Source organism: Homo sapiens, chromosome 2 (genome assembly GCF_000001405.40).
Source record: "Homo sapiens chromosome 2, GRCh38.p14 Primary Assembly".
In the NCBI taxonomy this organism is placed as follows: domain Eukaryota; kingdom Metazoa; phylum Chordata; class Mammalia; order Primates; family Hominidae; genus Homo; species Homo sapiens.
The window spans coordinates 55,441,380-55,463,049 of NC_000002.12; the positions used below are offsets into that span (position 1 = coordinate 55,441,380).

The window sequence follows — 21,670 nt, forward strand, 5'->3', positions numbered from 1 at the left end:
TCCTCAAAAAGAGCATGAGATAAGAAAATGGTTATCAACTAGGATCCCAGGAAGTGCCTTCTCATATCTTGTCCCTGCTTCTCTGGTCTCATCTCTCTGCCTTGCAATTGTCTCTACTTTTCAATTCATACATCGGGTTACAGTTGTACCTCAGCTTTGAAGTTTTAAAATTTCCATCACTCAGGAGAATAGCTCAGTCTGAATAAGAATATTATGGTCCCAGTTTCAAATTCCTGGTAGAAAGAATCTGATGTCACAGGTTGGGTCAGATGTCCACACGTGGTCTGATTATCTGTGACCAAGGAATGATGTCATATAGTAGAGATATGGTTGTCTGGAGCCTCTCTAAGGAGGAGGAAGCAAACTAGGTCTTTGTGAGATAAGCCAACACTCAAAAAGGAGCTAATACAATTGTTGAGTGGAAAAAAAAAAAAGAGTCATGTACAATGCAATTCCGTTTCTGTAAAACAAATCAAAACAAAGCTCTATCTATATACAAATATGTCTATTGCTAATACATATATTAGAAGAGTCTGGAAAGACTTGTAAACAGGAATATATATATTAATATATATTTTTAAAGTTTTCATTATGAAATATTTTAGACTTACACATGAATAGCAAAAATAGTGCAAAGAATTCTTGTACACTCTTCACCCAACTTCTCCAAATGTTTAATCTTACATAATTGAGTAAAATGATCAAAATCAAGAAAATAACACTAGTAGGGTGGAGCCAAGATGGCCGAATAGGAACAGCTCCGGTCTATAGCTCCCAGCGTGAGTAATGCAGAAGACAGGTGATTTCTGCATTTCCATCTGAGGTACCGGGTTCGTCTCACTAGGGAGTGACAGACAGTGGGCGCCGGACAGTGGATGCAGCGCACCGTGCGCGAGTCGGAGCGGGGCGAGGCATTGCCTCACTCGGGAAGCACAAGGGGTCAGGGAGTTCCCTTTCCTAGTCAAAGAAAGGGGTGACAGATGGCACCTGGAAAATCGGGTCACTCCCACCCCGATACTGCGCTTTTCCGACCAGCTTAAAAAACGGCGCACCAGGAGATTATATCCCGCACATGGCTCAGAGGGTCCTACGCCCATGGAGTCTTGCTGATTGCTAGCACAGCAGTGTGAGATCAAACTGCAAGGCGGCAGCGAGGCTGGGGGAGGGGCGCCCGCCATTGCCGAGGCTTGCTTAGGTAAACAAAGCAGCCGGGAAGCTTGAACTGGGTGGAGCCCACCACAGCTCAAGGAGGCCTGCCTGCCTCTGTAGGCCCCACCTCTGGGGGCAGGGCACAGACAAATAAAAAGACAGCAGTTACCTCTGCAGACTTAAATGTCCCTGTCTGACAGCTTTGAAGAGAGCAGTGGTTCTCCCAGCATGCAGCTGGAGATCTGAGAATGGGCAGACTGCCTCCTCAAGTGGGTCCCTGACCCCCAAGCAGCCTAACTGGGAGGCACCCCCCAGTAGGGGCAGACTGATACCTCACACGGCCAGGTACTCCTCTGAGATAAAACTTGCAGAGGAACGATCAGACAGCAGCATTCACAGTTCACGAAAATCCACTGTTCTGCAGCCACTGCTGCTGGTACCCAGGCAAACAGGGTCTGGAGTGGACCTCTAGAAAACTCCAACAGACCTGCAGCTGAGGGTCCTGTCTGTTAGAAGGAAAACTAACAAACAGAAAGGACATCCACACCAAAAACCCATCTGTACATCACCATCATCAAAGACCAAAAGTAGATAAAACCACAAAGATGGGGAAAAAACAGAGCAGAAAAACTGGAAACTCTAAAAAGGAGAGCGCCTCTCCTCCTCCAAAGGAACGCAGCTCCTCACCAGCAATGAAACAAAGCTGGACGGAGAATGACTTTGACGAGTTGAGAGAAGAAGGCTTCAGACGATCAAACTACTCCGAGCTACAGGGGAAATTCAAACCAAAGGCAAAGAAGTTGAAAACTTTGAAACAAATTTAGACGAATGTGTAACTAGAATAACCAACACAGAGGAGTGCTTAAAGGAGCTGATGCAGCTGAAAGCCAAGGCTCGAGAACTACGTGACGAATGAAGAAGCCTCAGGAGCCAATACGATCAACTGGAAGAAAGTGTATCAGTGAGGGAAGATGAAATGAATGAAATGAAGCGAGAAGGGAATTTAGAGAAAAAAGAATAAAAAGAAACGAACAAAGCCTCCAAGAAATATGGGACTATGTGAAAACACCCAGTCTACGTCTGATTGGCGTACCTGAAAGTGATGGGGAGAATGGAACCAAGTTGGAAAACACTTTGCAGGATATTATCCAGGAGAACTTCCCCAGTCTAGTAAGGCAGGCCAACATTCAGATTCAGGAAATACAGAGAACGCCACAAAGATACTCCTCGAGAAGAGCAACTCCAAGACACATAATTGTCTGATTCACCAAAGTTGAAATGAAGGAAAAAATGTTAAGGGCAGCCAGAGAGAAAGGTCGGGTTACCCACAAAGGGAAGCCCATCAGACTAACAGCAGATCGCTTGGCAGAAACGCTACAAGCCAGAAGAGAGTGGGGGCCAATATTCAACATTCTTAAAGAAAAGAATTTTCAACCCAGAAATTCATATCCAGCCAAACTAAGCTTCATAAGTGAAGGAGAAATAAAATACTTTACAGACAAGCAAATGCTGAGAGATTTTGTCACCACCAGGCCTGCCCTAAAAGAGCTCCTGAAGGAAGCACTAAACATGGAAAGGAACAACCGGTACCAGCCACTGCAAAATCATGCCAAATTGTAAAGACCATCAAGGCTAGGAAGAAACTGCATCAACGAACGAGCAAAACAACCAGCTAACATCATAATGACAGGATCAAATTCACACATAATAATATTAACTTTAAATATAAATGGACTAAATGCTCCAATTAAAAGACACAGACTGGTAAATTCGATAAAGAGTCAAGACCCATCAGTGTGCTGTATTCAGGAAACCCATCTCACAAGCAGAGACACACATAGTCTCAAAATAAAAGGATGGAGGAAGATCTATCAAGCAAATGGAAAACAGAAAAAGGCAGGGTTTGCAATCCTAGTCTCTGATAAAGCAGACTTTAAACCAACAAAGATCAAAAGAGACAAAGAAGGCCATTACATACTGGTAAAGGGATCAATTCAACAAGAAGAGCTAACTATCCTAAATATATATGCACCCAATACAGGAGCACCCAGATTCATAGAGCAAGTCCTGAGTGACCTACAAAGAGACTTAGACTCCCACACAATAATAATGGGAGACTTTAACACCCCACTGTCAACATTAGACAGATCAACGTGACAGAAAGTTAACAAAGATACCCAGGACTTGAACTCAGCTCTGCACCAAGTGGACCTAATAAACATCTACAGAACTCTCCACCCCAAATCAACAGAATATACATTTTTTTAAGCACCACACCACACCTATTCCAAAATTGACCACATAGTTGGAAGTAAAGCTCTCCTCAGCAAATGTAAAAGATCAGACATTATAACAAACTGTCTCTCAGACCACAGTGCAATCAAACTAGGACTCAGGATTAAGAAACTCACTCAAAACCGCTCAACTACATGGAAACTGAACAACCTGCTCCTGAGTGACTACTGGGTACATAACGAAATGAAGGCAGAAATAAAGATGTTCTTTGAAACCAACGAGAACAAAGACACAACATACCAGAATCTCTGGGACACATTCAAAGCAGTGTGTAGAGGGAAATTTATAGCACTAAATGCCCACAAGAGAAAGCAGGAAAGGTCCAAAATTGACACCCTAACATCACAACTAAAAGAACTAGAAAACAAGAGCAAACACATTCAAGAGCTAGCAGAAGCCAAGAAATAACTAAAATCAGAGCAGAACTGAAGGAAATAGAGACACAAAAAACCCTTCAAAAAATTAATGAATCCAGGAACCGGTTTTTTGAAAGGATCAACAAAATTGATAGACCACTAGCAAGACTAATAAAGAAGAAAAGAGAGAAGAATCAAATAAATGCAATAAAAAATGATAAAGGGGATATCACCACCGATCCCACAGAAATACAAACTACCATCAGAGAATACTACAAACACCTCTACGCAAATAAACTAGAAAATCTAGAAGAAATGGATAAATTCCTCGACACATACACCCTCCCAAGACTAAACCAGGAAAAAGTTGAATCTCTGAATAGACCAATAACAGGCTCTGAAATTGTGGCAATAATCAATAGCTTACCAACCAAAAAGAGTCCAGGACCAGATGGATTCACAGCCGAATTCTACCAGAGGTACAAGGAGGAACTGGTACCATTCCTTCTGAAACTATTCCAGTCAATAGAAAAAGAGGGAATCCTCCCTAACTCATTTTATGAGGCCAGCATCATCCTGATACCAAAGCCTGGCAGAGACACAACAAAAAAAGAGAATTTTAGACCAATATCCTTGATGAACATTGATTCAAAAATCCTCAATAAAATACTGGCAAACCGAATCCAGCAGCACATCAAAAAGCTTATCCACCATAATCAAGTGGGCTTCATCCCTGGGATGCAAGGCTGGTTCAATATATGCAAATCAATAAATGTAATCCAGCATATAAACAGAACCAAAGATAAAAACCACATGATTATCTCAATAGATGCAGAGAAGGCCTTTGACAAAATTCAACACTTCATGCTAAAAACTCTCAATAAATTAGGTATTGATGGGATGTATCTCAAAATAATAAGAGCTATCTAGGACAAACCCACAGCCAATATCATACTGAATGAGCAAAAACTGGAAGCATTCCCTTTGAAAAGTGGCACAAGACAGGGATGCCCTCTCTCACCACTCCTATTCAACATAGTGTTGGAAGTTCTGGCCAGGGCAATTAGGCAGGAGAAGGAAATAAAGGGTATTCAATTAGGAAAAGAGGAAGTCAAATTGTCCCTGTTTGCAGATGACATGATTGTATATCTAGAAAACCCCATTGTCTCAGCCTAAAATCTCCTTAAGCTGATAAGCAACTTCAGCAAAGTCTCAGGATACAAAATCATTGTACAAAAATCACAAGCATTCTTATACACCAATAACAGACAGACAGCCAACTCATGAGTGAACCCTCATTCACAATTGCTTCAAAGAGAATAAAATACCTAGGAATCCAACTTACAAGGGATGTGAAGGACCTCTTCAAGGAGAACTACAAACCACTGCTCAATGAAATAAAAGAGGACACAAACAAATGGAAGAACATTCCATGCTCATGGGTAGGAAGAATCAATATTGTGAAAATGTCCATACTGCCCAAGGTAATTTATAGATTCAATGCCATCCCCATCAAGCTACCAATGACTTTCTTCACAAAATTGGAAAAAACTACTTTAAAGTTCATATGGAACTAAAAAAGAGCCTGCATCGCCAAGTCAATCCTAAGCCAAAAGAACAAAGCTGGAGGCATCATGCTACCTGACTTCAAACTATACTACAAGGCTACAGTAACCAAAACAGCATGGTACTGGTACCAAAACAGAGAGATAGATCAATGGAACAGAACAGAGCCCTCAGAAATAACGCCACATATCTACAACTATGTGATCTTTGACAAACCTGAGAAAAACAAGCAATGGGGAAAGGATTCCCTATTTAATAAATGGTGCTGGGAAAACTGGCTAGCCATATGTAGAAAGCTGAAACTGGATCCCTTCCTTACACCTTATACAAAAATTAGTTCAAGATGGATTAAAGACTTACATGTTAGACCTAAAACCATAAAAACCCTAGAAGAAAACCTAGGCATTACCATTCAGGACATAGGCATGGGCAAGGACTTCATGTCTAAAACACCAAAAGCAATGGTAACAAAAGCCAAAATTGACAAATGAGATCTAATTAAACTAAAGAGCTTCTGCACAGCAAAAAAAACTACCATCAGAGTGAACAGGCAACCTACAACATGGGAGAACATTTTCGCAACCTACTCATCTGACAAGGGGCTAATATCCAGTATCTACAATGAACTCAAACAAATTTACAAGAAAAAAACAAACAACCCCATCAAAAAGTGGGCTAAGGGTATGAACAGACACTTCTCAAAAGAAGACATTTATGCAGCCAAAAAACACATGAAAAAATGCTCACCATCACTGGCCATCAGAGATATGCAAATCAAAACCACAATGAGATACCATCTCACACCAGTTAGAATGGCAATCATTAAAAAGTCAGGAAACGACAGGTGCTGGAGAGGATGTGGAGAAATAGGAACACTTTTACACTATTGGTGGGACTGTAAACTAGTTCAACCATTGTGGAAGTCAGTGTGGCCATTCCTCAGGGATCTAGAACTAGAAATACCATTTGACCTAGCCATCCCATTACTGGGTATATACCCAAAGGACTATAAATCATGCTGCTATAAAGACACATGCACACATATGTTTATTGCGGCACTATTCACAATAGCAAAGACTTGGAACCAACCCAAATGTCCAACAATGATAGACTGGATTAAGAAAATGTGGCTGGAGTGCAGTGGCGGGATCTCGGCTCACTGCAAGCTCCGCCTCCCGGGTGGGCGACAGAGCGAGACTCCGTCTCAAAAAAAAAAAAAAAAAAAAAGAAAATGTGGCACATATACACCATGGAATACTATGCAGCCATAAAAAATGATGAGTTCATGTCCTTTGTAGGGACATAGATGAAATTGGAAATCATCATTCTCAGTAAACTATCGCAAGAACAAAAAACCAAACACCGCATATTCTCACTCATAGGTGGGAATTGAACAATGAGAACACATGGACACAGGAAGGGGAACATCACACTCTGAGGACTGTTGTGGGGTGGGGGGAGGGAGGAGGGATAGCTTTAGGAGATATACCTAATGCTAAATGACGAGTTAATGGGTGCAGCACACCCGCATGGCACATGTATACATATGTAACTAACCTGCACATTGTGCACATGTATCCTAAAACTTAAAGTATAATAATAATAAAATAAAAAATAAAAAAAGAAAATAACCCTAGTAAATGCCACTAATTCATCTATGAACTGTATTTAAATTTTGTCAACTGTCCCTATGTGCCCCTTTTCCTGGATCAGGATGCTATCAAAGATCACACAATGCATTTATTTATCTTCTTACTCTTTAATCTATGATAGTTTCTTAATCTTTCTTTATCTTGTGTGACCTTCACAATTCTGAAGAGTGTATACCCATAGTTTTGTAGAGTGTCCCTCACTTTGGATTTGTCTGATGTTTCTTTTTGATTAAATCAGGTTATATATGTTGGCCTCATGACTGCAATATTAACTTGGATCACTTGATTAAGGTGGTGTCTGCCAGACTTCTCTACTGTAACATTATTTTTCCCTTTGCCATTTAATAAATATCTTCTGGGGAGATACTGTGACACTATATAAAAAATCCTGTTTCTCCTTTTAGCCCACCAATTTTAGCATTTGTGAATGACTCTTGCCTGAAACAATTTTTACTATAGTATCTGGCAAATGGTAATTTTGTTTCCATCACTTCTTCATCATTTATTACTTGGAATTCTACTGTAAAGAAGAACTTCCACCACTCTCCCAGTGATTTATTTATTCAACTTGTTATCACTCTGGACATAGGGATATTTGTTTTATTCCACGAGTTACAACTTATTACTATCATTATTTATTTTGTTGCTTAAATTGTCCCAGATTTGTCTTGGGATCCCCTTCAAGTTGGCTCCTATGTTTCTTCAACATGCCCCATCATTTTTCCAGCATTTACTTTTTGACATCATGACATGTTCCAGGCGGATCTTGGTTTTTCTCTGTTCCAGTCCTGGAACCAGACATTTCTTCCAAAAGTTCTGGCTTTTCTTTTCTTTTTTTCTTTTTTTTTTTTTTGAGATGGAGTCTTGCTCCGCTGCCCAGGCTGGAGATGACGCGACCTGGGCTCACTACAACCTCCACCTCACGGGATGAAGCGATTCTCGTGCCTCAGCCTCCAAAGTAGCTGGGACTATAAGCTGGGACTAAAGACGTGCGCAACCACAACCGGCTATTGTTTGGTATTTTTAGTAGAGATGAGGTTGTGCCATGTTGCCAAGGCTGGTCTGGAAATCCTGAGCTCAAGTGATCCTCCCACCTTGGCCTTCCAAAGTGCTAGGATTATAGGTGTGAACCAATGCCCCCGGCTGCCCTGATTTCTTTCCTTTTCTTTTTTTTCTTTCATAAAATTGCACATATAAAACAAGATCTGGCATCAAGTATGTTCATTGCTAGTGATATGCCAATACCTGGAGGTAGGTAATATTTTATCTGCATTTCATAGAAAAGAAGGTGAGGCATGAAGAGGTTAATGCGGCTAATTATTTATTAGGTGCTAGAGCCAATATTTTGACCCAAGCAATCTGACTCTAGAATTCATGCTTTTGTTGTTTTTGTTTTTTTGAGACAGTCTCCCTCTGTCGCCCAGGCTGGAGTGTAATGGCATGACCTCGGCTCACTGCAACTTCCGATTCCCAGGTTCAAGCGATTCTCCCTGCCTCAGACTCCCAAGTAGCTGGGATTACAGGCATGCACCAGCACACCCAGCTAATTTTTGTATTTTTAGTAGAGACAGGGTTTCGCCATGTTGGCCAGGCTGGTCTTGAACTCCTAACCTCAGGCTATCTGCCCGCCTCGGCCTCCGAAATTGTTGGGATTACAGGCATGAGCCACCATGCCCAGCCTCTTAAAAGCTTTTTAGTAATTGAGAGAAGTGGAAAAATCATGGTGTCCACATTGCATGTGGTCACTACTTGACCTGGCACTTTATATCTGACAGACACTATGTGGAGTGAGCTATTACCAGCAATCTGTTCATGCTACCCTCCAGTAGGCACAGCACATAGGATATGTTCCAACTAGGCCATAGGTCTCCTCAAGAGCTAAACACTACATATGACATTTGTTGAATCATTTTACTGTCCACAAGACAGAGATATATTTATCAGGGGCCTCATTCACCTGGAAAGTCTCTGAGCTTCTTACCTATAGGTGGTGATTAAATGGGTAAACAAACTGTTTTTCCTAGTCCCAAATTCACCCGATTATAATTAAGGAAAGTCATTTTGTTTGCAACATTCACTGCTATAGCATATTGGCGGCTTTTTTAAAAATCAATGTTAGCCTACATTTGCTTATAAAAATCTTCAGGTTTCCATTTTAGTGGTATCGCTTGAGGAAAAAAATCCAGAAAATTCTGATGCCAGCTATTCTACATGGTCCCCTCTACTGAAAAATATAAAGTGGATCAAAGTTTATATACTACTAAATCTTAATGCATAGAAAGCTTGAATATTTCTTGTTTTTCATAACATCCAATTTAACACACATAAGCCAAAGATCCCAAGTATAGAAAGGCAGGAAAAAGAGAACAGGAAGGGCAGAGGGGGCTGTGGCAACTACAGTTTTGGGCAGTTTGGTAACACCCCTTCTTCTGCTGCTGCTTTAATAAGGTATAATTGACAAATTTGAATTGTATATATTTAAGGTGTACCATTTGATATTTTGATACATATGTGCATTGTGGAATAATCACCAGAATCAAGCTAACTAACCATCACCTGACATACTTATGTTTTTGTGTGTGTACATGATGAGAACACTTCAGATAAAATATACGGAATGCTTAGCAAATTTTCATGACATCCTTGTGCAAGGGCCTTGCTAATCTTCTCTGCATTGTTCCTATCTTATTTTATTTAATTAATTTATTTATTTTTGAGACAAGGTCTCACTTTGTCACCCAGGCTGGAGTGCAGTGGCGCAATCTTGGCTCACTGCAACCTCTTCCTCCTGGGTTCAAGCGATTCTCCTGCCTCAGTCTCCTGAGTAGCTGGGATCACACGCACGCACCATGACGCCCAGCTAATTTTTGTATTTTTAGCAGAGATGGAGTTTCACCATGTTGGCCAGTCTAATCTTGAACTCCTGACCTCAGGTGATCCACCCGCCTCGGCCTCCCAAAGTGCTGGGATTACAAGTGTGAGCCACGGCGCCCGGCCTAGAATTCATGTTCTTGACCACTATGCATATCTTACTAATAAAGCTGAGGAAGCTAGCACAGTAGAAACCAATCTTACCCATATACAAGTGCAGTTTTCTAACTAGAGATGTTAAAGACTTAAATGTAATACATAAGTAGAAAATGCATAAAAAAGAATTAAACGTAAAATCTCAAATAATAAAAAAAAGGAGAAACTATAAGTGAATATTCAGTCAATCTCAGGCTGAGAGAAAACTCTGTGAGAATACAATGGTGCACTCCCCAGCTGCATCACTCACTTTAGGATATGTCCCCGATGTTAGCTGTGGCAGGAACCAGTTAAAAAAGGAAATTGGCACTGTGTGCATTTTTTTCTCAGGAATCAGTCCTGGCTTGTCTGACTGAACTCCCTTTGCATTGCCTTCTCTGTCAGAACGATCAATTTGAATTAGAGCTTTCTCTTTTTTATTGCCCTGTCTGAATTTGGCACCCTGACCCTGGACTATTGGTCTTGGCATTACTGACCCAGAAACTCCATAGGAAACTGACCTGGTAATTATTCTCTTGGCTCCATTCACCACAGCCTCAGGCCCACTTCCAGGCCAGGGACTCAGGGCCCCCCATCTGCCTGAGGCAGCAGTATGTGGTCAAAAAAAGAATAGAAAACACACATCCAAGGAAACATAGGAAAAGATGGACAGGCTTGATTAAACGGTAAAGTGTAAAATGATTATTCTTCAAGATAACGTACAATTCTATGATTCTATAGACACATATGTCCATGCCTACATATGATAACTGACTTCTCAACTGCTAACATTTCTTGAGTACTATTTGCCCAATACTACTCATTTTTCTATAAATTTATATTTTGAAAAATGTCAAACTTACAGGAAACTTTAAAGAATAGTACAACGAGGCAAGGTGCAGTTGTTCACACCTGTAATCCCAGCACTTTGGGAGGCTGAGGCGGGAGGATCACTTGAGCTCACGTGTTTGAGACCAGCCTGGACAACAAAAGGAGACTGTCTCTACAAAAAATACAAAAATTAGCTGAGTGTGGTGGCGTACACCTAGAGTCCCAGGTACTCGGGAGGCTGAGGTGGGAGGATTGCTTGAGCCCAGGAGGTTGAGGCTGCAGTGAGCCATCATTGTGCCACTGCACTTTAGCCTGGGCGACTGCAAGATCCTGTCTCAAAAAAAAAAAACAAAAAAAAAAACCAAAGAAAAAGAATAGTACAATGGACACCTATATATTCTTCACCAAGATTCAGCAATCAAGAATTGACTTTTCCCATCAGATTTTAATATTTCTTGTTTCTACCCAAAAATTCATGTGTATTTTGCATCTTGTCACAGGCCATATTTCAGGGGTTCCATAACCACTCCTAGTTTGGTGTTTTTTTAGAAACACTCAAAAGGCTCAATATCAGGTTATATTCATGGCTAAGACTTATTACAGCAAAAAGTAGACAGCAAAAGTTGCAAAAAGAAGATAGGCATTAGGTAAAATCCAGAGAGGTCAGATACACGCTTTCAAGTTTTTTCCAACCAGAGCCACACAAGACAATCTTTCCTTCTAGCAGTATCTCTCTACCCAATGCAAGTCTCAGGGCCCAAGGCTTTTATGGAGGTCTGGTCACATAGGTACATTCTACTACATGACCATCCTTGGCAACTGAAACTCAGGACCCTAATAATGAAACCTGGCATGCATGATCAGTCTTGATGTTTGTGCAAAGCAATTCTGACAAGCTAGTAGGTCATGGTTCATTGCTCTAGGTGCATACAACAAAATCATCAACGTTAGCATAAAGAACCTTCCAAGGGCCACATACCTAGGGTTGACCAACAGTCAATCATGGGTCCAGGTTTCCTTGGAGATATGCAAGGACAGAGCAACCAGAATTGCTGTGTAAACTTCTCATATGATACCTTTGTTTGTTATGTTCCTGCCATTTGAATTGCCTTTTCCAGAAGTCTAGTTCAAGTTCCACATTCTCTCCAGCACCTGCCCAAGGCCCTTCCTGGAGCAGCTACTTCCTAAACATATGCTCAGTGAAGGAAACTTGAGTGATGTCTTCACAGACCTATTCAATCCGGGGATCTCTTCCTTTTCAGTGAATTTTCCCCTTATTTTATAATTTGTCATATAATGCCTAGGAATAGCTCTTGTGTTATTATCTGACATTGCCATTTAATTTTTCAAGTTTATATTTTCTCCTTAACCACATGCTAAACAACAATCATCTTTCAGTTCACTTTGTATATATTTTGCTGCTGCTAGAACAAAATATAACACACACTTAATAAATATTTACTGATATTTACTGATGCTAATTGATAACTGGTTCAAAAACTACCCTCCTACAACTTAGTCTTTAATTAATATATAAATAATAAAGAGCTGGGCATGGTGCCTCACACCTGTAATCCCAGCACTTTGGGAGGCTGAGGCGGGAGGATTGCTTGAGGCCAGGAGTTTGAGACCAGCCTGGGCAACATGGCGAAACCCTGTCTCTACGAAAAATACAACAATTAGCTGGGCATGGTGGTGGGTGCCTATAATCCCAGCTACTTGAGGGACTGAGGCAGGAGGATCACTTGAGCCTTGGCAGTCGAGGCTGCAGTGAGCTGAGATCATGCCACTGCACTCCAGCCTGGGTAACAAAGTGATAACCCGTCTCAAAAAAAAAAAAAGTGATAAAGAAAATGAGGCTGTTTTAACCCAGCTAACATCTAGGTTTGACGATTAGGTGAGAGGAGTCATTGCAACAGTAGTGGTCTACTAAGTTGGTTTATTGCTGCAAGAGAAGCCTGTACATCACATACTTCTCCAGGCTCAAGTCCCTTGCTTGGGCAGTTCTACAAGCCATCAGGAGAGCGCTTGCAACTAATTAGAATGGTGCCTCTCAAACTGTAGCATGCACTGGGAGCACCTGGAGGGCATGTAGGACACAGATTTCTGGCCCAGCTTCCGGAATTTCTGATTCAGTAGGTCTGGGGTGGGACCAAATAACTTGCATTTTTAACAAGCTCCCAGGTGATACTGATTCTGCTGGTCCCATACCGTACTTCAAGTCGCAAGGTCCTAGTATATCATTCACACACTCAACAGTATATATTTTCAGTACTCTAAGTGCAATTCTTAGCAAGCAGCTAGGCCATAGCAGAATTTTGACTTTATCACACACTGTTCCACCTTTATATGTCTTGTCTACTTACACACAGCCACTATTTTTCATATAAGAATAGTAATTTGTTTTTGCTATAATGACACTCCTCTTCAGAATATATTCAATGATGGAATTCCATGCCAGAAAATTGCTGTTTATCAATTATTATAACAGTTTCTGTTATAAAGACTTAAAATTTCAATGGATACCATCTGTTGATTTTAAAATCCACACTGCTATAAATTAGTCATCATAATATAATGGTCAAGTATCATATCACAATTTACTATTGTCTGGTAGTGTTCTTGAAACTTAACTTGTTCTCTTTGTTCCTCTTTGAAGCTTTTTTTTTCTTTTTTCTTTTTTTTTTTTTTTTTTTTGAGACAGATCTCGCTCTTTTGCCCAGGACGAGAGTTAAGTGGCATGATCTCAGCTCACCTGCAACCTCGCCCCCTGGGTTCAAGAGATTCTTCTGCCCGCCACCATGCCCATCTAATTTTTGTATTTTTAATAGAGACAGAGTTTCACCATGTTGGCCAGGCTGGTCTTGAACTCCTGACTTCAGGTGATCTGCCCGCCTCGGCCTCCCAAAGTGCTGGGATTACAGGCGTAAGCCACCATGCCCGGCCTCTTATAAGCTTTTTAGTAACTGAGAGAAGTGGAAAAATCATGGTGTCCACATTGCATGTGGTCACTACTTGACCTGGCACTTTATATCTGACAGACACTGTGTGGAGTGAGCTATTACCAGCAATCTGTTCATGTTACCCTCCAGTAGGCACAGCACATAGGATATGTTCCAACTAGGCCATAGGTCTCCTCAAGAGCTAAACACTACATATGGCATTTGTTGAATCATTTTACTGTCCACAAGACAGAGATATATTTATCAGGGGCCTCATTCACCTGGAAAATCTCTGAGCTTCTTACCTATAGGTGGTGATTAAATGGGTAAACAAGCTGTTTTTCCTAGTCCCAAATTCACCCGATTATAATTAAGGAAATTCATTTTGGTTGCAACATTCACTGCTATAGCATATTGGCGGCTTTTTTTTAAATCAATGTTAGCCTACATTTGCTTATAAACATCTTCAGGTTTCCATTTTAGTGGTATCGCTTGAGGAAAAAATCCAGAAAATTCTGATGCCAGCTATTCTACATGGTTCCCTCTACTGAAAAATATAAAGTGGATCAAAGGTTATATACTACTAAATCTTAATGCATAGAAAGCTTGAATATTTCTTGTTTTTCATAACATCCAATTTAACACACATAAGCCAAAGATCCCAAGTATAGAAAGGCAGGAAAAAGAGAACAGGAAGGGCAGAGGGGGCTGTGGCAACTACAGTTTTGGGCAGTTTGGTAACACCCCTTCTTCTGCTGCTGCTTTAATAAGGTATAACTGACAAATTTGAATTGTATATATTTAAGGTGTACAACTCGATGTTTTGATACATATGTGCATTGTGGAATAATCATCACAATCAAGCTAATTAATCATCACCTGACATAGTTATGTTTTTGTGTGTGTACGTGATAAGAACACTTCAGATAAAATATATGGAATGCTTTGCACATTTTCATGACATCCTTGTGCAAGGGCCTTGCTAATTGTCTCTGCATTGTTTCTATTTTATTTATTTATTTCAGACAAGGTCTCACTTTGTCACCTAGGCTGGAGTGAAGCAGTGCAATCTTGGCTTACGGCAACCTCTTCCTCCTGGGTTCAAGTGATTCTTCTGCCTCAGTCTCCCGAGTAGCTGAGATCACAGGCGCACACCACCATGCCTAGCTAATTTTTGTATTTTTAGTAGAAACAGGGTTTCGCCATGTTGGCCAGGCTGGTCTCAAACTCCTGGCCTCAGGTGATCTACCTGCCTCAGCCTCCCAAAGTGCTGTGATTACAGTTGTGAGCCACGACACCTGGCCTGTTCCAATTTTAGTATATGAGCTTCCAAAGTCAGCACCTTATCCTTCTTCTCACAACAGTACTCACCAACCCACAAAACATAAGGCCAGCAACCCAGATTTAGACCGAACCTCAACTTCCTGGCCAGAGGAATTATCCAAGGATTATTATTAGGGCAGGTGACACAAGTTGAGAAAATCCAAGTTCTTCCCCAGCAGGTACTCGAGGGGCCCTTTGGCTCTGGGGTCACGGAGCTAGAGGAAGTGAAGCCAGAGGGGCTTGCACGCCTCATGAAAAGGCCTAGCAGAAATAGAAGTGAATGAGGCCAAAACCCAGAGAAACAGACCTGTGAAGATATATACACAAAGCAGAGGGACAGAGAAAAAGAGAGAATGAGAAGACCTTTCAATGTCCTTGAGTCCCTGGGTTCAGAGTAGCTACGGTCAGGGCCTTCCCTATTCTCCCCAGGAACATGAACCACTAAATATTGCTCTTTGCTTAAATTATTTTGAGTAGGATTTCTGCTCCTTGACTAATAGTAAGGCATATTACTTTATCTATTTCTGAGTAATGGCAACTATTTTTAAAATCAATCTTACTCCCACACCTAGGAGGAAAAAAATACTGTCAGATATAAAATTAGGTTTAAACATTATTAGCTAAAGGTGTCTGAGATTTTGTCTGGAATTCGCTGGTAAAAATGCTATTTTGAGGTGAATGTGTATAAATTAATCCATACCCTAGGGACAATTATTTAACATTGTTAACACCCAGGTCAGGAGTCTACACCTGAGGCAGGGGTGATTAACTAGACATCTAAAGGCCTTAATCAGTTGGCCACCCTCCAAAGGAGGCAGGTGTAGAACTTTAGATATCTCACTTTCTGAACCTGCACCACAAGCGATGTTGCATTTTTTCATAGTGAAATGAGCAGTATTCAAGATATACTGCCAGATGACTAGCAGCCTTTTTTTTTTTTTCCTTGAGATGGAGTCTTGCTCTGTCACCCAGGCTGGAGTGCAGTGGTGCGATCTCGGCTCACTGCAACCTCCACCTCCTGGGTTCAAGCGATTCCCTGAATGGACAAATTGGCTTAGGTCAAGTCTTAAGGGTGAGAGAAGCTGCTGAATGACTTCTTATGACTTAGATTCTCAAACACTCCCTGGGTTTTCATCCAGTCTAGTGTCCTACTCTTCCTTCTAGATTCACCCTTCTATGAGCTCTTCTTGGTTCTAATCCAGTTTAGTTCCTGGGTATTAGAGGCCATATTTGCTTGCAGCCCACCTCTGGTTTTAGACTTAGGCCAACTCACACCCACATTTGAATGCCGCATAGCTCTATCCCTCACCTATACTCCTAGGCCTATTTCATTTTGCTTAAAGAAAGTGTTTATTTCTCATTTGCATGTGGAAAGTCTTTATTATTGTACATATCACTTGCAACAATCTGTCCAAAATTAGAGTATCTTGTACTTTTACATAGACAGAATGACAGAATTTTTTAAAAAGAGTGAAAGCACATTCCATGTACATAAGTGAATTTTTAAAAAGTCTTTAATTCAAAATAACATTTCACCGTGTAATTTCTTAAGTTTCAGCCATAGGTATGTGTTCTTGAAGTAGAGACCTTTTTTTTTTGAGACAGAGTTTTGCTCTTGTTGCACAGGCTGGAGTGCAATGGCGTGATCTCAGCTCACTGCAACTTCTGCCTTCCGGGTTCAAGCGATTCTCCTGCCTCAGCCTCCCAACTAACTGGGATTACAGGCATGCCCTATCATGCCCAGCTAATTTTTTGTATTTTTAGTAGAGACAGGGGTTCACCATGTTGGCCAGGCTGGTCTCGAACTCCAGAATTCAGGTGATCCACCCACCTTGGCCTCCCTAAGTACTGGGATTACAGGAGTGAGGCATCGTGCCCAGCTGAGACTTTTTTTTTTAAGAGGCGAGCTAGTTTATTGATACAGTAGTTCCTGTCTAATTCTTAGGCACTCAATTTAAGAGATTGAAAAGAATGAAAAGATAGTTCCAGCCCCATCAGGAAAACTGTATTTGGGTTCTTCTCACTATAAAAGGGTATTTTTAGCTTCATTTTTATTATTGGCCTGAAGAAAAAATACACAAGGAACCAACACGGAATTAAACTAAGCTGCCCCCAAAGGAATGGAGAAGAGGATTTGATTTTAGCAGAGACCTGTGTCTCACTTACAAACAATGTGTGGATGAAAAAATGCCTACATGGGGTATGTAGCCACCGGTGCAGTGGCTCACACCTGTAATCCCAACACTTTGGGAGGCCGAGGTGGGTGGATCACAAGGTCAGGAGATCGAGACCAGCCTATCCAACATGGTGAAACACTGTGTCTACTAAAAAATACAAAAATTAGCCAGGCATGGCAGTGGGCGCCTATAATCCTAGCTACTTAGGGGACTGAGACGAGAGAATTGCTTGAACCGGGGAGGCAGAGGTTGTAGTGAGCTGAGATCACCCCACTGCACTCCAGCCTGAGCAACAGAGCAAGACTCCGTCTCAAAAAAACAAAAAATGAAATGCCTACATGGGATCCCAAGGTGAGTGGACGCTAGGTGTTGTGGCTTGGGAGCACTGGGAGAGTTGCTCAAACTTGGCATGGAGAGAGTGGAACCACCTGCTTTCAAATGACCATGAAGTGGCAACAAGTCCTGAAGACCAGGGTCCTTCCCTGAATGTTCTGGAGTGTGTAATCTTCCCTTTCACCATTCCATCATTACTCCAAGATTGTGGTAATATTTATTGCACATCTGTGTTACGGAGTATGTTCACACCTATAACAAGTAAATATACAATTTTTTAAATCTAGATTAAGCTATTTACAATATATCTAAATCAACAATGACTACTTGAGGATATTCTCTTTAAATACTATTCATTACAGAAGGCTGAGTCTACGTGAGGCAGATGTGTGCTTTGCCTACATCAGTGTTTCCTAAGCAGCCTGCTTGGTGCTAGCTCACAGATATTGACTGCCCTGGGTCCTGGGGACAGTTGGTTGTCTTGGGTGATTATCTTCAGCTGTAAGCAGCCTCTTCCTCTTGCCCCAGTGAAACCGCCTTTGCAAAATTATGACTGAGACAGTGAAAGAGGTCCAACTTAAACGACTCCATCTTGCCTCCAACCTCCAAGCTGTGCTTGTTCATTCCTGGGTATAGGCTGAATTAACTTTGGGAGGAACTTAGTTTATCATTTAAAACAATGATAATAGCAGCCCTTTCCCAGGACAAACTTCCTTCTTGCCCAGGGATTGGACTACTAACATTAGCCACAAAATTAAAAATTATGGTTTAGGAGTCACCTAGCTGGAGGCTACAAGACTCTGACCCTCCCTAAACTGCTCCTAAGATCAGTGCTTGAGGTGTTTTGCAGACTCCACCCTTCATGCATCTACCAGCACTACCCAGATGGAGAAACTGGCCATTTGATCTTGTGACCCCCACCCAGGAACTGAGTCAGCGCAAGAAGACAGGGACGCCCCCACGATTTCACGTATGACCCAACCAATCAGCACTCCCCAACTCACTGCCCCTCCCCTCCCACCAAATTGTCTTGAAAAACTTTGATCCCCAAATGTTCCGGGAGACTGATTTGAGTAGTAGTAAAACTCCAGTCTCCTGCTCAGCCGGCTCTGCATTAATTATTCTTTCTGTATCGTGATTCCTCGGTCTCGAGAAATGGGCTCTGTCTAGGCAGTGGAGTAAGGTGAACCCACTGGGCGGTTACAAATTAGGTAAAGTGAACCCACTGGGCGGTTACACCAGTGTGCTATACAACTACTGTATTGTCATTTCTGTGTGTGCCATTTGTGTTGGAAGCACTGGTTCATGTATCTGTAACAGTTTAGTGCAAGAGGCAAAATGTTCCTTTAGCTGCATCTCTTCTACTGACAAAATAAATGTAAAAGGTAACTGTCTGCATTCAAGAAATCCTTTATCAGATGTAAGCAGAGAGCCAGAGTTAAAGCAAGATTCAGCCTAGGAGACACAGAGACTTGGTAGTTTCTGGATAGCTCTTCTATTCAGAAGTAAAGGTGTTAGATACATTTTTGGAAACAGTTTTATTCTAGTTCTACAATCATAGAAAAGTGGAGACTAATGGCTGAACAGAAGTAAAATTCGAAACAGCAGAAATGAAATGTCAGAATTGAGTTCAACCATTCTTTCCTCCCAGGGAGGTCAAACCTACCATAGAGTATCTGATTCACGCAGGGATTCTATCTGAAGTTCAAGTTCTTTCACCCATTCATCTGAAGTGTCCCAATTCAAGAGGGTCAGGTTTTCTGTACTTTCTGTTTCCCTGCAATTCGTGAGTCAGCAGTACCAGGGCAGTGAATTTTTTTTTTTTTTTCACTCTGGCTGCACATTGAAAGTACTTAGAGAATTTTTCCCCCTAAAAATCTGTGCCTGGGTCTTACCCTAAACCAGTGATTCTCAAATGTGGTTCCCAGATCAGCAGCCTCAGCATTGCCTGGTAACTTACTAGAAATGTGTATGTTGATCCCCACCCCTGCTCTACTGAATCAGAAATTCTGAGGTTGGTGCCCAGTAACCAGGTGATTTTGATGCAACCTAAATTTAAGAACACTTGACCTAGACAAATTAAATCAGAATCTCTAAAATGAAGCCTGAGAAAATGATCATTTCAAATGATTCTAATGTACAGCCAGAGTTAAGACCATTGCCTTGGACAAGAGGAAAGCCCTAGGAACTCAACAGAATTTCTGGTCTGTCAGGTCTCCATTTTTCACATCAGACCAGGCTCCCTACTTCCTGATGCAGGTCCCTTTCCAGGTAAGATTATCAGTAACTCTTTCAGCAGAATTTGGAGTTCACTCCTGAGTTTATTTCTGGCCTTGGGTAGATTTCATGCGTTACATCCTTGCCTAAACTCATTACTCACTTGTAAACACCTGTGGAAGTGAACAGCCAGGTCTCACAGCATTTGTTCTCTAAAGCATCTTGTAAGAAATGAGAGATGCATTACAAAAGGAAAGTAGAAGAAATGAGGGCTCTCACGTTTTAGAGCACAAGTTCTCAATCTTGGCTGTATATTAGAATCACCTTTTAAAAACTCCTATTACAGACCACATACCAGACCAATTAAATATAATATTATGGGATAGGGTCCAGAAATCAATATTTTTTGAAGCTCCCGAGGTGACTAAAATTGGCTGAGAATTGCACTCTAGCAGGAGAAACTTGACTAAAATGTCAGTCTTGAGCAAGAGATAGGGAGACTGACAGGAGGAAGAAAAGCTTCTCAGTGCCAACAAGGAATTGGTATTCACAGGCACACATTCGTCCAGTAACCTTTTTAAAAAATACTTTCTTCTCTAACCTTAACACAGAACTAGATGGGCCCCTTTCATACACTCTTAGGTTGCATGAGAGAGGGAGGGAAAGATAAGGAATAGATGAAGCAAGTCTAATGAACCCTTGAAAATTGTTCATCTTGATGATAAGTATGTAGGAGTGAATCATGCTATTTACTTAACTTTTGTGTATATTTGAAAATTTCTACGGTAAAATAATTTTCAACTAAACTTTTTCAGAAGTGGGGACATTATTACCAGCTTACAGAAATAGAAAGGATTATAATGATACTATGAAAAATTGTACTCCAACACATTGGATAACTTTAACTTGTAGCTTGAAAGTAGGGTAAATAGGGGTCCATTCCAAGATGGCCAAATAGGAACAGCTCTGGTCTGCAGCTCCCAGCGTGATTGACGCAGAAGATGGGTGATTTCTACATTTCCAACTGAGGTACCTGGTTCATCTCATTGGGACTGGTTGGACAGTGGGTGCAGCCCACAGAGAGCGAGTTGAAGCAGGGCAGGGCATCGCCTCACCCGGGAAGTGCCAGGGATCAGGGGATTTCCCTTTCCTAGCTAAGGAAAGCCATGACAGACTGTACCTGGAAAATCGGGACTTTGCCACCCAAATACTGTGCTTTTCCACCAGTCTTGGCAAACGGCACACCAGGAAATTATATCCCGCGCATGGCTCAGTGGGTCCCATGCCCACAGAGCCTTGCTCACTGCTAGCACAGCAGTCTGAGATCAAACTGTGAGGCGGCAGCCTGGCTCGGGGAGGGGCGTCCACCATTGCTGAGGTTTGAGTAGGGAAACAAAGTGGACAGGAAGCTTAAACTGGGTGGAGCTCACCGCAGCTCAACGAGGCCTGCCTGTCTTTGTAGACTCCACCTCTGGGGTCAAGGCATAGCTGAAAAAAAGGCAGCAGAAACTTCTGCAGACTTAAACATCCCTGTCTGACAGCTCTGAAGATGGCACTGTTTCTCTCAGCATGGTATTTGAGCTCTGAGAACGGACAGACTGCCTCCTCAAGTGGGTACCTGACCTCCGTGTAGCCTAACTGGGAGACACCTCCCAGTAGCAGCCAACTGACACCTCATACAGCCGGGTGTCCCTCTGAGACGAAGCTTCTAGAGGAAGGATCAGACAGCAATGTATTTGCTGTTCTGCAGCCTCCGCTGGTGATACCCAGGCAAAAAGGGTCTGGAGTGGACCTCCAGCAAACTCCAACAGACCTGCAGCTGA

The 21,670-nt window shown here is 41.7% G+C and overlaps 2 pseudogenes, besides 2 other annotated features; both read right to left on the reverse strand.

Moving 5' to 3' along the window:
* Positions 662-1,163: an enhancer, noted in NCBI's record as "H3K4me1 hESC enhancer chr2:55669177-55669678 (GRCh37/hg19 assembly coordinates)". NCBI's record gives its function as "activates a minimal SCP1, AML or CMV promoter by ChIP-STARR-seq in naive H9 embryonic stem cells {active_cell/tissue: H9 hESC(naive)}" and the evidence as "EXISTENCE:reporter gene assay evidence [ECO:0000049][PMID:30033119]".
* Positions 1,164-1,663: an enhancer, noted in NCBI's record as "H3K4me1 hESC enhancer chr2:55669679-55670178 (GRCh37/hg19 assembly coordinates)". NCBI's record gives its function as "activates a minimal SCP1, AML or CMV promoter by ChIP-STARR-seq in naive H9 embryonic stem cells {active_cell/tissue: H9 hESC(naive)}" and the evidence as "EXISTENCE:reporter gene assay evidence [ECO:0000049][PMID:30033119]".
* RNU6-775P (RNA, U6 small nuclear 775, pseudogene) lies at positions 9,625-9,720 on the reverse strand (annotated as a pseudogene).
* On the reverse strand, positions 14,727-14,825 carry RNU6-221P (RNA, U6 small nuclear 221, pseudogene; annotated as a pseudogene).